Genomic DNA, 15,072 nt, shown 5'->3' with positions numbered 1-15,072 from the left:
TCAATATATACTGTAAAAGAACATAATGGCAAAACAGAAAATGCATAGCTTATTTAGATCAAGAGAGTCTTAATGAGAAAATGTGTTTTGCTCTTAAATGGGGACATTTTTACTAACCTGGAAATTTACTTACATGGAACATCTTATTCGTATGACATCACATTATAAGGTATTGCTATAATAGTCAGATTAATAAAATGACTACCTTCAGGTAAGAGTGTAAGAAGAAATCTATATTTTTGTTTGTTTGTTTTTTAAACATAAACTTGCTCAGTTAATGCAGTGTGAAGAGGCTAGGGCCTGTCATATGATACCAGTTCAAATTCGTCATCTTCCCCTTTATGGTAACTAACATTAAGTTATGTGGCACAAACCTGATACCAAGTAATTTTCCACTTAACATGGCATGTTAGCTTTTATAGATATTTTAGGCCTGGCTTAAAAAACATCTTTATGACCAGGTACAGTGGCTCACAGCTGTAATCCCAACACTATGGGAGTTCGAAGTAGGCAGATAACTTGAGCCCAGGAGTTTGAGACCAGCCTGGAAAACATAGCGAAACCCCATCTCTACAAAAAAAATACAAAAACTAGCTGGGCATGGTGGTGCAGGCCTGTAGTCCCAGCTACTGGGGGAGGCTGAGGCAGGATGATCGATTGAGCCTAGGCGGTCAAGGCTGCAGTAAGCACTCCAGCCTGGGCAACAGAATGAGACTCTGCATCAAAAAAGCCCAAAACCAACCAAACACAAAATCTTTGTTTGTTTTTACATTGTGCATTCAATAATGCCAAGCAGATTCTAAGAAAAAAAAAGTATTTTTCTCCAAAAGTCAATTCTTCAATTTAAAAGATTTGGTTTATCTTAAGTAACCTTTATTAAGTAACTTTAATAAGTAATCTTTCAGTGTTGAGACAATGTATTATTGTGACTGTGAATATACAATATTTTAACGCAAGGTTGTATTACTGAACGGGTAACGGAAATCTTTTCTGGAAAGAGGGTAGTAGAAAAGAGTCTTTTACACTAAGTAAAGGTAGAAGAATAATATATTTAGAAGAAAAAAGAAATTACAAGTCATCTAACCATTCAATAATATAGTTTAGGCAAGCCTGTTTCATATGCGTCAAGCCACATTCCTAATACTAGCTGCTCAGTTCTTTTATTTGAATAAACAGCATGTCTATTTATGGTTTCTTCTTATTTATTATTGCATTGCATAGGAGAACATAATTTTTCTCACAGAGTCAGGCTCATCAAATCAGTACTATCAATGATACTTTCAAGAAAAGTTACTCAGCCAGGCGTGGTGGCTCATGGCTGTAATCCCAACACTTTGGGAGGCCGAGGTGGGTGGATCACCGGAGGTCCGGAGTTTGAGACCAGCCTCGCCAACATGGTGAAACCCCGCTCTACTAAAAATACAAAAAATTAGCCAGGCATGGTGGCAGGAGCCTGTAATCCCAGTTACTCAGGAGGCTGAGACAGGATTGCTTGAACCTAGGAGGCAGACGTTGCAGTGAGCTGAGATTGCACCACTGCACTCCAGCCTGGGTGACAGAGCGAGACTCTGTCTCAAAAAAAAAAGTTACTAATTGAACAACACCATTCCTAGCAGCAAGAACACAGTGCTCTGTGACAGTGGGATGGATGCTGAATATTGCTTTAGAGATAGCAAACTCAAATACGAAATAACTATAGAACACATTTGGGAAGCACATTTAGCTCTAAAGGGCTGAAATACTTCATAAAAAGTCCACTTCAGTAGCAGAGAAGGCTGCCTGGAGACAGCAAGGTAGAAACTCTACCACAGCTAAAGTCCCATCTCAATCCTGCATCTAAGATTAAGAGGCAGGTGTGCAAGCCCTGCAAAGTACAGTCCTAAAGTTCTACCTAAACTATGAGAAGCAAAAAAATAGTAAGCCAATGACAGGTTTTTCATTCAAGGAGGAATCTTAAAGGAAATTCCGAAATGTACATAAGATTTTAAATGCCACGAACTAAAATTTAATTCCTCCTATACGGTTGGATTTATTTTTTTAAGATGGGGTTTCACTCTGTCACCCAGGCTGGAGTTCAGAGGCATGATCTCAGCTCACTGCAACCTCCCCCCTCCCAGGTTCAAGCAGTCCTCCCCGCTCAGCCTCCCAAACAGCTGGAACCACAGGTGCACATTACTTCACTCAGCTAATTTTTTTGTATTTTTGGTAGAGACAGGGTTTCACTACATTGCTCAGGCTGGTCTTGAAATCCTGAGCTCAGATGATCCACCTGCCTCAGCCTCCCAAAGTACTGGGATTACAGGCGTGAGCCACCGTGCCTGGCCTTATAGTTGGATTTTTTAAAAATCTGAGGTGGCAGAGACAACATCTGTTGATGAGAGAGAAATTAAAATTCATCATATATAACAAATTTGAAACTACCCATTCTCTTTATTATAGTAACCATATTAATAAAAGTAATAGGGCCTCATTTAGTCTTTTCACTCTATGTTGATGCAGGAAACAAAACTACTGACTGTTTTGACAGCAACATGATACCTCTTGCATTTCCACAAAGCAGTCAAGTGAAACAAAGTACTTTTCCTACGGATTTAAAACAAACAAGCTGTTTCCTTTCCGGCAAGGTTCAAATGTCATTCCTTTGCTTACCTAGTAACTGCAGTGACAAACGTCGTTGCTGTATCCAGGATACCCATCTACCTATTTTTAAAGTCCCTGTTAAGTCTTTTGTTAATGCTGTCTAGTAAGTTGGTATACAGTGGATCATAATTTTATGTTTATAAAATCCTTTCTGGTTTTGAACACTTTAGGGATCATTTATACTTGTTTACTTTAGGCATGGGGAAAAGAGTCAGTCTGTTGAAACTCAGTGGCCTGCTTTAAGGCAAATGTGAGGAACAACTCTGATAAGAACCCGCATTTGGTGCTGCTTCTATTATAATGCATTCTGGTTTTCTCTTCAACAAAAATTAAGGACTAAAAGGTCAGCTGAGTAGATCTAAAGCCTATTCTGAAACTCACTGAAACCTCTATTAAAAGACAGCGAATAAATCTTATTTCTGGTTCTTCACATCCTACTGGCAAATGTGACAAATTTTTACTGCCTTGCCCTAAAGGGATATGTGAAAATTCTAATCCTATGCTTAGTGCATGAGAACTTAGAGTAAATAAATCACCAACATTCTAATATTACCAGGTAAAGATGAATAGTTTATAACAGGGGTCCCAAAACCAGAAGTGGCCTGTTAGGAACCGGGCTGCACAACAGGAGGTGAGCAGCTGCAAGTGAGCATCACCGCCTGAGCTCTGCCTCCTGTCACATCAGTGATGGCATGGGATTCTCATAGGAGCACAAACCCTATTGCGAACTGCACATGCAAGGATTTGGTTGTGGACTCCTTATGAGAATCTAATGCCTGATGAACTGTGGTAGAACAGTTTCATCCCAAAACCATTTCCCCCATGGAAAAACTGTCTTCCACGAAACTGGTCCCTGGTGCCAAAAAGGTTGGAGACCACTGGTTTATAAAGTAAAGCAATAAAAATGTGTGCAAAAGGCAACTAACTGAACTTAAAAGAACAAAAAGAGATTATTATTAAAAAGGCTGATATCCAAGTCTCTTTGGTGGGAGCAAGAGAATCAATAGGATATTAACCTCCATTCTGAACTCAAATCCTTTCAAGTTTCAAAGTATTTATTCGGGACAAAGGCAGCTATGAAGAGTTGCGTACAAGAAACAGAAACAAATACCTAATCCAGGAAATTCAAAGAGATTAATTTTTCATCAGTAGTTTGCTTCTCTCTTCTATGCTCATATTATGTATTTACATTCACTGTACACAAATTCATTTAGCATAATGCTATTAAAAATGCTTGTGCCTGTCACACAGGTTTCATATGACTATGCCCCAATGCCCTACCTGCATGTCCCACCAACATACTTACTGAATTCATTCCACTGAACAGGTCTCCTGATCCAACATGAGCTGTATGCACAAAGTTTGTGGGCTCTCCAATCATACTTCTGTCAATCCGCCGTCGCCTTTTCTAAAATATGGGGAACAAATGTGTTGAGAAAGTGATCTTATGAGCAACTTATTCTGATGGATTTTTATACTATGACTGTTTAATAAATTTGCCAAGAACACAAAAATGCCTAGCTCTTAGACTGCCACAATTACTTCTTATGATGAAATCCCCAAGACAAATATATGCACAAAAATGATTAGTAAAGCAAAATAACAGGTTATTATTTAGAGCTTAATAGATTATTTGGTCTAGCTTTGGTCATCCACATATTTAATAACTGCTTAAGTTTTATTCTTTTTAAAAAACGAGACAAATGTAAAATTACCCTCAGTCACTATTATTGTTGGCAAAGAACACAGTGGTTTGAATACACTGTCTGATTTTAAACATTACTTTCTGGCTTTCATCATTAACAGATGTATTATATTTTGATGGTTATTATTCAGATTATACCCAATTACCTTTCTATGCTAAAATGAATCTGTCATTTCAGCTGGAGGGGGTGGAGGTGGGAGGGTGAGAGGGTGACAGATTTGGTCCTAGTCCATTCACTCTTCTCTGGTCTGTTCTAGCTGGGAACTAAACCTGTTGACTAACTAGGCTGGGTCTTACTCACTCTTCTTAATTTTTTTTTTTTTTTTTTTTTTGAGATGGAGTCTTGCTATGTTACCCAGGCTGGTCTTTTAACTGGGCTCAAGCAATCCTCGCACCTCAGCTCCCAAGTAGCTGGGATTACAGGCACGCACCACTACGCCTGGCTGACTCTTCCTAATTTTTGAAAAGCACTTCTCATGGGGTGCTGAGCCCCATTTTCCAGTAACTTTAGCCACCAGCTGGTGTCCCTGTTCTGACCAATATGCTCATCTACCCCTTAGAGATATTTCCTGACTGTACTGCTGTGTTTCACTGATTATCTAAGAGTTTTCCAGATATGAAGATTATCTTAGATCTGTCCTGTTTTCCATGATCCCTTAGATATGATAATGTTATTGGGAGAGACCACTGGCCACGTTGGGTTAGTGTCCTACTATGGGGCTCTGCTTATCCCAGTTTACTGTCAATAGTATACTTCTCCTGAAATTGCAGCTTCCCTCAAAACCAAGCAGAGTTACAAACTTGCTGGATTAGCTGCCTTTGAACATAACACTTTTATGTCCTTATCTACTGAAACGCTGGCATGATCCTGATAAACCCTAAAATTTTATCACGAGAGTCCCATATGACAGCTCCTCAGGGTGAAAACATGACTTTCTACAAAACCACAAAAGTGGCGAGCCCATGCATATATTTTAGAAGTCCATATACATTGTTTTACTGTCCTCTCGTTTATATTGTCATAGATAGAAACAACAACCACAAAAAACCCTGACGCTTTTCCTTTGAAATATTTATGTTATTCATCCTTAGAATTCAGCAATGACATTAGACCATCTCCAAGTTTGTTGGGTTTTCCTTCCAGTAATTCTGCGTGGCACACGGTTATCTGAACACAGGTTTTCTGTATCTTAGAAAAGTTTTATTCTGTTAGTTCCTTGATAATTGCTCCATGTGTTCATTTTGCTATTTCTGGAGTTCCTGCCTATGTGGACATTTGAACATGTGTGTGTCTATAATCTTCCAAGTTTCTTATATTTTCATCCTTTATTTCTCTTTATAATTTCACTGCATTGAAAAGTAACTCTGCTTTATCCTCTTCAGAGGTCCAAGCTAGATAGTAAATATTATAACCTTGCAGGCCAAATACAATCTCCACTGTAGCTTTGACTCAACTCTGCTATTGTAGCATGAAAGCAGCTGCAGAGCACATGAAATTAAATGAGTATAGCTGTGTTATGGTAAAAATTTATTTACAAAAACAGGTGACAGGCTAGATTTAGCCTGTAAAAGTAGTAGTCTGCTGACCCCAGCTCTAGATTTTTTCAGTAGTAGCCACATAATTTCATTTTTTCCATTATGGTTATTTTTCAGAGGCTGTTATGACATGTCATTGCAACATTTTTTAATCTCTGAAAAAGTTGTATTATTATAGTTTTTCACTCTTTTCCCTAAAAACACTTAACTATATAAATTATAAGTCTATAACACTAGGGAACAAAGAACTCTCATTTCTTTATTTGAACAACTTTAGTTTTACTTCAAGCCTTTTTTTGAAAGTTGGTAAGAAACTGTCTGTCTTTTGGGGCCCTGTTCCACAGAATCATAAAACTTGCAGGTTAAAATGGTATCATAAAGTCAAAAGAGGCTTTTGTCTATGTGTTTTAATTTTTCTATTTCCTAGCACAATGCACTGGTTTCCTGCTATCTTTTTCTCGCATACTGCTCCCTCTGATGATCTTAGAGGTGCCTCATACAAAGACTCCCTGCCCCTAATGGCAGACTTGACACCCACAACCATCCTTTGATCTGGAGTGCTGCATGCCAGCAATGCACTGGTCTTTTCCTCTGTTCCCCATCTTTTTCACAGACTCAGTTTGTCTATTTCCAACCACCCCATTCAACATACTTCTCTTCATACTATTTTTGTTTGGAATGATAAAGCATAATTCTATGAATTAGCCTTAAACAATGCTAACTTATCTTTTTTAGGAATAAAGTAGGGAAAAAAGATGTTAACAGTTTTGTGCCTTTTTCTCTTCTTAATAATATATTATTACATTTCCACTAAATTTCCTTATTAGGAAGCTATTTGGGCAGGTCCAGAAATGTAATCTTTACCATCACAGGATACGAATTTTCTCAGCATGTGGGCAGGACAAATTATTGGGATTTCTTCCCCAGTGAGCCACTTAACTGACAGGTAGAGAGGGAAGCTTCTAGGTTCTTGTCACAGTTCCACAGGACAGTGGCATCTGCAGGACACCAGACTCTTCCCCAGGCGTTTGCAGTAAACATGTCAAGATAACTGCTTCTGATATGCAGAGAGAGCCACTTGGCTCTCTCAAGCAGGGGAGGAGGTGGTACCAGAGAATACTTCCTGGTACCTACTTCCAGACCACTAGGAGGAGTCTTGATCAACCCTTGTCCTGTGAACCTGCAGAAGCAACTCCTAACAGTTCTCATTCTGCATCATTTCCTCCAGAAGGGTGTGTTTAGAGCTTGCCAAAAGGCTCCACTTGGTCTATACCTCCATATTAAGTGATTTATTCTGTTGAGTTACTGCAGGACTGTGTTGGGGGAGAACAGAAACCATAGTGTGCTCAGGCCACCACCCATCTCACCCAAAAAGAATGAATAGATATGCTTGTGAAAGAAGGGTATTAACACATACTCACAAACAATAATTCAGCAAACATGATTACTGAGAATATTCAAAAGCTGATAACAAAACTAGTTCCCAAGAAGCTACTCTGACACTGAAAAGCAAAGGATGGGAAGACTTCAGCTTACTTCTATCATACTGTGTTATTAGATAACTAATATATATGAATGTGAAAATAATAGTGAGTATTTTTCAGCTTGAACTATACTGAGCTGGGAGTCACACCTTAGTATTGGAAGGTTTCTTCATGGCATCTAATCTAACAGTTTGTGAGATATGAAAGAAGCTTTCAGTCCTTCGCTCCCCAAGGCTGAGGGAACTCAGCTGTCCAGAAACTGAAAGGAGCAACTGTGTTGTGCGAGCATAGTAAAGGTAAACACCTAAGATGAAAATAGTAAGATAAGCAAGAACCAGATCACATAGAGTTTGTAAAGGACTGAAGTGTGTGATCCTCCCAAGAACAATGGGAAATAATTGAAAGTGTTTTAAAGCAGAGGAATAACATGATTAAATAGCTTGAGAAGACTATTCCACAATAGCTATAGGTGGAAAACATGTTAGAAGAGGTCAAAATAAGTTATTAATGTTGGTGAAAAGGGATTATGTGGATTCAACTAATAACACAGATAGAAGTGGATAGATTCAAGAAGTAGTCAGTGGATAAAATCAACAGCATTTGGGCCGGATGTGGTGGCTCACGCCTGTAATCCCAGCACTTTGGGAGGCCGAGGCGGGTGGATCACCTGAGGTCAAGAGTTCGAGACCAGCCTGGCCAACACAGTGAAACCCCGTCTCTACCAAAAATACAAAAATTAGCCAGGCGTGGTAGCAGGTGCCTTAATCCCAGCTACTTGGGAGGCAGAGACAGGAGAATCGTTTGAACCCAGGAGGCGGAGGTTGCAGTGAGCCGAGATCGAGCCATTGCACTCAGGCCTGGGGGACAAGAGCGAGACTTCTCTCAAAAAAACAAAAAAAAAAACAAAAAAAAACAGCACTTGGTTGCAGGCTGGATTTGGTAACAGTGAGAGGGAGGAGTTAAGAAATATGCACAGACTTCAGATTTCAGCAGAGAGTGTGCAATTCACTGGGTTCTGAGAGAATCCAAACTGGAGATAAGAGACTGAGAATCACCAGCATTAACAAAGCCAAGTTAATGAGATTTCCTAGACAAACTAAATTTCTGTGGTTGGGCAGAGAAGAAGCCATCAAAGAAGGCCAAAAAGAAACAGCCTGAAAGTCAGTAGGAAAATCAGCAGTGTGTACAAGTGTCAAGAGGGAGCAGAGCTGAAAGGTGGTGAGAGGTCAATTAAAGACAAATACGTGCAATGGATTCAGCAATATCAAGTCAATGGGCACCTTAGTGAGTGCTATGTCAGTGGAGTAATAGGAGGAGAAGACACGCTGCAGGGGACTGAGGTGGGTCTAAGAAGTGGAAAATGGAGAAAGAGAACAGAGACAACTCTGGAGAAAAGTCTGGCCTTCTGGACAGGAAGAAGACAGGTCAGTGGCTGAAAGGAGAAAAGGAGATGAGAACAGATTGAATTTTTCCCCTGTAAGATGGCAGAGAATTCATTATGCTCAATTTCTAATGGGAAAGATCCAGTAAAAGAGGTACAGAAAAAGAAGGAAAAAGAAAATGGATTGTCAACCTTACAAGGTTCCTGAGAAGGCAGGAAAGGTGGATCTAGACACAGGTGGAAGTGTTCTTTACACTCTTTCCTACAACACTCTATCAAAAACCTGGATTTAAATATAAATAAATATTCTAAACTATAAAAATGCAGTATTTTAAGGCACAATGTGGACATTTAAAGAATGGCACACTTGTTTGGGGTACTGTATAATAGTCACGGGTGGCTGGGCATGGTGACTCATGCCTATAATCCCAGCACTTCAGGAGGCTGAGGCAGGTGGATCACTTGAGGTCAGGAGTTCAAGACCAGCCTGGCCAACATGGCGAAACCCTGTCTCCACTAAAAATACAAAAATTAGGCCATAAGAATGATCAAATGGACTTGGGGCTCTGGAAGAGTGGGAGGGGGGCAAGGGTTTTATAAAAGACTACAAATATGGTGCAGTGTACACTGCTCGGGTGATGAGTACACCAAAATCCACAAATCACCACTAAAGAACTTACTCATGTAACCAAACACCACCTGTAGCCCCAATAACTATGGAAAATTAAATATTTTCTTTAAGAAAAAAAAATTAGCTGGGCATGGTGGCAGGCACCTGTAATCCCAGCTACTTGAGAGGCTGAGGCAGAAGAATCACTTGAACCTGGGGTGGGGGGTTGGCGGGGAGAGGTTGCAGTGAGCCGAGATCACACCACTGCACTCCAGCCTGGGTGCCAGAGTGAGACTCTGTTTCAAAAGAAAAAAAAAGAATAGTCATGGGCAAACAAGGGGAATTCCAGAGTCAGACCTCCGCAAAGAAAAACAGGAAATGGTGCACTCTGCTCTGATACGTATTAACAGTTGTCGTTAGCAGAGTCACCGTGTTTCCTGGAAACAAATTCTTTATAGGAAACTTTGTTAAGACCGTCAACCATCTGAATAATCCTTGCATCCTTAAAATATTAACTTTTATTCTGCATAAGGTGAAGGACTAGAGACCCAAATGAACTGCTATGTTAGTGTGGAGGGGACATTAGGCAAAATGTCTCTTCCCATAACTTTTTACATAATTACATCATAATTATTAAAGATAATGAACTAAACAATTTGGAGTATATCCAAGGAGGCGAGAAGCAGGTTAATTTCAAAGGATTTGCTACTGTGAGAACCTTATTTGCATCCTTATCTAAACAATATGTATATAACCATACTATATCTACCTCCCTCACATTTCTGGCATATGGATCAACTGTAGCTTCTAGAAAACAGTAATTACATCATCACTTAAAAGTTAAAACTTTCCCAAAGACTATTCTCTGGGCAGCTTAGTGTGCAAACACATGTCACTGAGAAGCAAATGAAGGCCAGGTCCCATCAGGTTAGCAGAAGGCCTACAGTAAGAGTAAAAGATGGTACAGCCTGAGGTAGTTCTAGAAGCAGATACAGAGTGAATAAAGAAAATGAAAATACTTGCCATCTGGGACAGTGAAAAAAGCTGGAACTTTCAGGGTATAAAATAGCAATCATTTATGCAAATGTGGCCAAAGTAAATGAAAGGTTGAAAGCTATGCTGACTCAACTTTATGACCTAGAGAAAGTCAGTTGAGTTGTGTAACTAAATCCCTAAATCTATGAATTAAATCTAACAAGCCCACTATTTCCAAATTGTGTCTTGGGGCATCCCAGCAAAACCCAGGGGTGCCAGGGTTTTCTATTTGAGGGAAACACAGTGAGGCTCAATGTGTGTTTGACACTGAGTGAACTACCAGCTTCAGATAATTTGTAACTTCAACATTAGAACATACATTCTTTTTAACAGCATATCTTTGTGAAGCTGAGTTTTCAGTGGTTACTGTGAAAAAAACCCAAGCACTATGCAAAAGTCAGTATGGAACTAGAAAAGAAGGTGGTGGTGTTCAGTCTGATTCCACAGTTTGAGAAGTTGTATAATCCCAACAGGCACAAACACACCATAAGTATGTAACTGGTTATTTAAGAATTAAATAAAAATATTTTTCAATTTATATCTTATTTTTTAAAGGCAAATAAGTTGTTGGGACATAAATCTTTACTAAGTTGTTTGTACCAAATTAGTTAATAAACAAGTCTGTACGGTATTTCTCTTGGCCTAGAGGCACCATGAAAAAAATTACAGAACCGTTAAGAGAAGTTTGGGAACCTCTGAAATAAGCTACATTAGTTTTTTGAAATATTGACAGTGTAATTAGGAACCAGGCATTTCTAAAACAAGTGGGTATTTTTTTTCTATGATGCCAGTGACAGTGATTCCCTGGGTGCGTGAGCTGCTTCCAAGTTAATCAATCTAGTTCACAGTATGGAAAAAAAGGCTAACAAAAGTTGTAATAATATAAAAAATGGATTTGACATTTTTTGATGAAAATGATCTTCCTAGTGGATATTCATTGACACAAAAAATGAAAATACCTTTTATGGTAGTAATGTCAACAAACTATATGAAACACCCTTGCCCCAAGTCTCTCCCTACTCATTCTTTGAGACCCAGCTCAAACATAAACATTCCGAGTTGAGGCTGTTGGATATTTCCTGTTCTGAACATTCACAGCACATGGCTCATATTCAATTATAGTACTTAAAACATTGTATTGTAACTTACTTGCTTACAGTTTGATTTTCCTACACTACTAAGAGTTCTGTAACAGTAGCTGTGCCTGACACACAGTAGACAATAAATGACTGTTGAATGAATAAAAGGCTTTTTTAAAGAAACAATGTCAGCTCAGTTCTCTAAAAATTGTTTGTCTTATCTAATATTATCGCCAAATATTTCTCAAGAACCTATTATATTTGGAAGATGTAAACAATGTAATGCCAATTCTAATGAAGTCTACATTTCTGCATAAAAAATACTTATCTGCTGATTTAATTTTCTCTCTTTCATAGAAATGCTGTGTGCTCTAGAGAGGTTTTAACTGGTAACACTGTTTTAGTTTTTATATTGGGTAGAACCTGTAAAGCAGTGGTTCTCAAGCTACAGTGTACATCAGAATCCCTGGAAGGTTTGTTAAAATACAGGTTTCTGAGCTCTAGTCACAGAAGATTTTCAGATTGAGCAAGTTTGGAGTGGAGCTTCAATTTGCATATCTAACAAGATTCCAAGTGATATTGATGGCTTAATGGTTAATAGAAAACACTGGCTCTAAAGATTAACAGCTGAATGACTATTATTAAAAAGTCAGGCCAGGCGTGGTGGCTCACGCCTGTAAGCCTAGCACTTTGGGAGGCTGAGGCGGGCGGACTGCCTGAGCTCAGGAGTTCGAGACCAGCCTGGGCAACATGGCGAAACACCATCTCTACAAAAATACAAAAAATTAGCCAGGTGTGGTGGCACACCCCTGTAGTCCCAACTACTCGAGAGGCTGAGACACAATAATCGTTTGAACCCGGGAGGCAGACGTTGCAGTGAGTCAAGATCACATCACTCCAGCCTGGGCAACAGAGAGAGACTCTGTCTCAAAAAAAAAAAAAAAAATTACATATAGTCAAATAATAATAGATGCTGGTGAGGCTGCAGAGAAAAGGGAACACTTATATACTGCTGGTGGGAATGTAAATTAGTTTAGCCATTGTGGAAAGCAGTATGGCAATTTCTCAAAGAAGTGAAAAACAGAAGTATCATTTGACCCAGGACCCCCTTACTGAGTATATACCCAAAGTAATATAAATCATTCTACCATAAAGACACATGTACACATATGTTCATCACAGCACTATTCACAATCGCAAAGTCATGGCATCAACCTAAATGCCCATCAGTGGTAGACTGGATAAAGAAAACGTGGTACATATACACCATGGAATACCACACAACCATAAAAAAGAACTAGACCATGTCCTTTGGAGCAACATGGATGGAGCTGGAGGCCATCATCCTAAGCAGACTAACACAGGAACATAATACCACATGTTCTCACTTGTAAGTGGGAGCTACATTGAGTACACATGGTCACAAAGAAGGCAACAACAGATACCAGGACCCATCTGAGAGTAGAGGGTGGGAGGAGGGAGAGGATCAAAAAACGACCTAATGGTTACTATGCCTATTACCTGGGTGATGAAATTATCTGTACAGCAGGTAATCTGTGACTCAGTTTACCTATATAATAAACCTACACATGTACCCCCTGAACCTCAAAGGTAAATTAAAAAATAAAGATTAACAGCTGAATATTTAAAAAGTAAAAGTGGGTAATAAAGAGTACTTATAAGATACCAGGCACAGTTCCAAGAACTTTAAAGCCATGAACTCATTTGCTAGTACCTTCTATAGCAGTATATGACATTTTACCTTCCCTTCAAATCTGGGATCCTCTGGCAAACTCTCACTTCTTGTCTCAGCCACTGCTCAGAAGTCCTCATTTGTTCACCTTTGTACTCTCTATTGAATAAAGGTTTTTTGTTTTTTTTTTTGAGACAAGAGTCATTCGTCACCCAGGTTGGAGTGCGGTGGTGCAATCTCAGCTCACTGCAACCTCCGCCTCCTGGGTTCAAGCGATTCTCGTGTCTCAGCCTCCCGAGTAGCTGGAATTACAGGCATGCACCACCATGCCCATCTAATTTTTTGTATTTTTAGTAAAGATGGGTTTCACCATGTTGGTCAGGCTGGTCTCGAACTCCTGACCTCAACTAATCCACCCACCTTGGCCTCCTAAAGTGCTGAGATTACAGGCATGAGCCACCATGCCTGGCCAAGATGGGAGTCTTAACAGTGTCCAGGTCCTGGATATTCATGTTAAAGAAGCTGAATTCAGCCTTCCCATGGGTGGTAATCTGAGTTGATAAAACTGCCTGTGGAAGTCTAGTTTCTAAGAATATGACAAAAAAATCTCTAATATGTTAAGGGACAAATGAAAGAGAAACAAGGTTTTAGATACTGCAGAGACTGGAAAAATATCTGCTCTTCAATAACTGAATAGCCTACTTTGGATTCCAAATTCTCATACTTAGGTCAAAACTTGAGAAAATAATAAACTTCTTCTATACATGAACTTGTACTGTATCTTCTACGGTGGGAAAAATAATTCTACTTGTCTGGCTTCTAGAGCTTAGCTCACTCACTGGAATGCCAGCAGTGGCCCTCAGGTGACAGAGCTTATATAAGGAGCTCTCTCCAGAGGAGATGAGAGTCACACCATAGATCACCACAGAGAAACCAAAACCAGCTAGTATTATAAGCAGAGAATTATCTAAGTCAAAGTACAGAAAGGAAAGATATTTTGTGTTGGAAATATTCATAAATAAATAGGTGAGTTGCTGGTAATGCATTTACAATTCAATCTTAAGTGTGGTGCTGTCGGTATCTGTCCTTTAGGGTTTAGTAGGTAACTAACCTTTTCCTACTCAGTATGTATTTTGCAGCTTTTGACAGATGAGAAGTTTGCAGGAGACCCCCAAATGTTTTTAAAAAGAATCTCTAAGCAAATCTATAGTGACCTTTTCAAGGGCCAAATTGCTAAAAGCAAAATTGAAGGAACTAGTTGTTCTCATCTCTCAGTGAGAAACCTGAAGTGAAAACAGTTTTTTTCTCCTTCTATTTAAAATTAGTATCTGGTTTAAGTCACATATTCCAAGTATGAAAACTGAAGCACAAAATAGGTTAAAAAAAAAAAAAAAAAGGAGGGGAGAAACTAATCTGAACTAGCTTTCAAGTATTAATGATATTGTTAATATCATTGGTGTTAAAAACTTTTCACTAGAAATTTCTGTCACTATGGGTCCATCTGGGATTGTTTCTATACACTGTATGTATACAATGTACAATGTACCTAGGAAGATATTACTTGCCAAAGTCCCACAGCTAACTAAAATCAGATCTGGGAGTCTTCCTTGTCCACTGTTGTTTCCTTCACATCACTGTGTGAACAACTGTGTTTCAAAGCAAGTCATATAATTCCCCCCAAACATTTACTATATAAAATTGAAATACAAAAATCAAGTGTTTATATTAACTCTATGTGAAGAGTGTTTACAATTGAGCCAAGTACTGTACTATAATTAATTTTTCTTACACCACACTTTGCACTGGAATTGCTTCTGGCTTGCTTAGCTTAAAAAAAAAAATTCTGTCACAAATTTTACACACAATGTCTGCTTAACTTTTTTTTTTTTTTTTTTTTTTGAGACAGTCT

General features: G+C 39.0%; 1 protein-coding gene across 11 annotated transcripts in view, besides 3 other annotated features; it reads right to left on the bottom strand.

Moving 5' to 3' along the window:
* The window catches only part of CDC42SE2 (CDC42 small effector 2), a 184,621-nt gene that overhangs the window by 5,082 nt on the left and 164,467 nt on the right, over window positions 1–15,072 (bottom strand). For all 11 annotated transcript variants that reach the window (XM_047417396.1, XM_047417393.1, XM_047417394.1 and 8 more), the window contains one exon: window positions 3,947–4,048. In XM_047417396.1, coding sequence (XP_047273352.1) covers window positions 3,947–4,048 — 102 coding nt within the window. The remainder of the gene's footprint in view (window positions 1–3,946; window positions 4,049–15,072) is intronic.
* Window positions 9,478–9,527: an enhancer, noted in NCBI's record as "active region_23053". NCBI's record gives its function as "activates an Ori minimal core promoter by ATAC-STARR-seq in GM12878 lymphoblastoid cells {active_cell/tissue: GM12878}" and the evidence as "EXISTENCE:reporter gene assay evidence [ECO:0000049][PMID:35858748]".
* Window positions 9,578–9,807: an enhancer, noted in NCBI's record as "active region_23052". NCBI's record gives its function as "activates an Ori minimal core promoter by ATAC-STARR-seq in GM12878 lymphoblastoid cells {active_cell/tissue: GM12878}" and the evidence as "EXISTENCE:reporter gene assay evidence [ECO:0000049][PMID:35858748]".
* Window positions 13,983–14,032: a silencer, noted in NCBI's record as "silent region_16307". NCBI's record gives its function as "represses an Ori minimal core promoter by ATAC-STARR-seq in GM12878 lymphoblastoid cells {active_cell/tissue: GM12878}" and the evidence as "EXISTENCE:reporter gene assay evidence [ECO:0000049][PMID:35858748]".

Source organism: Homo sapiens, chromosome 5 (genome assembly GCF_000001405.40).
Source record: "Homo sapiens chromosome 5, GRCh38.p14 Primary Assembly".
NCBI classification, from domain to species: Eukaryota; Metazoa; Chordata; class Mammalia; order Primates; family Hominidae; genus Homo; species Homo sapiens.
This window is presented reverse-complemented; position numbering and strand designations above follow the sequence as displayed.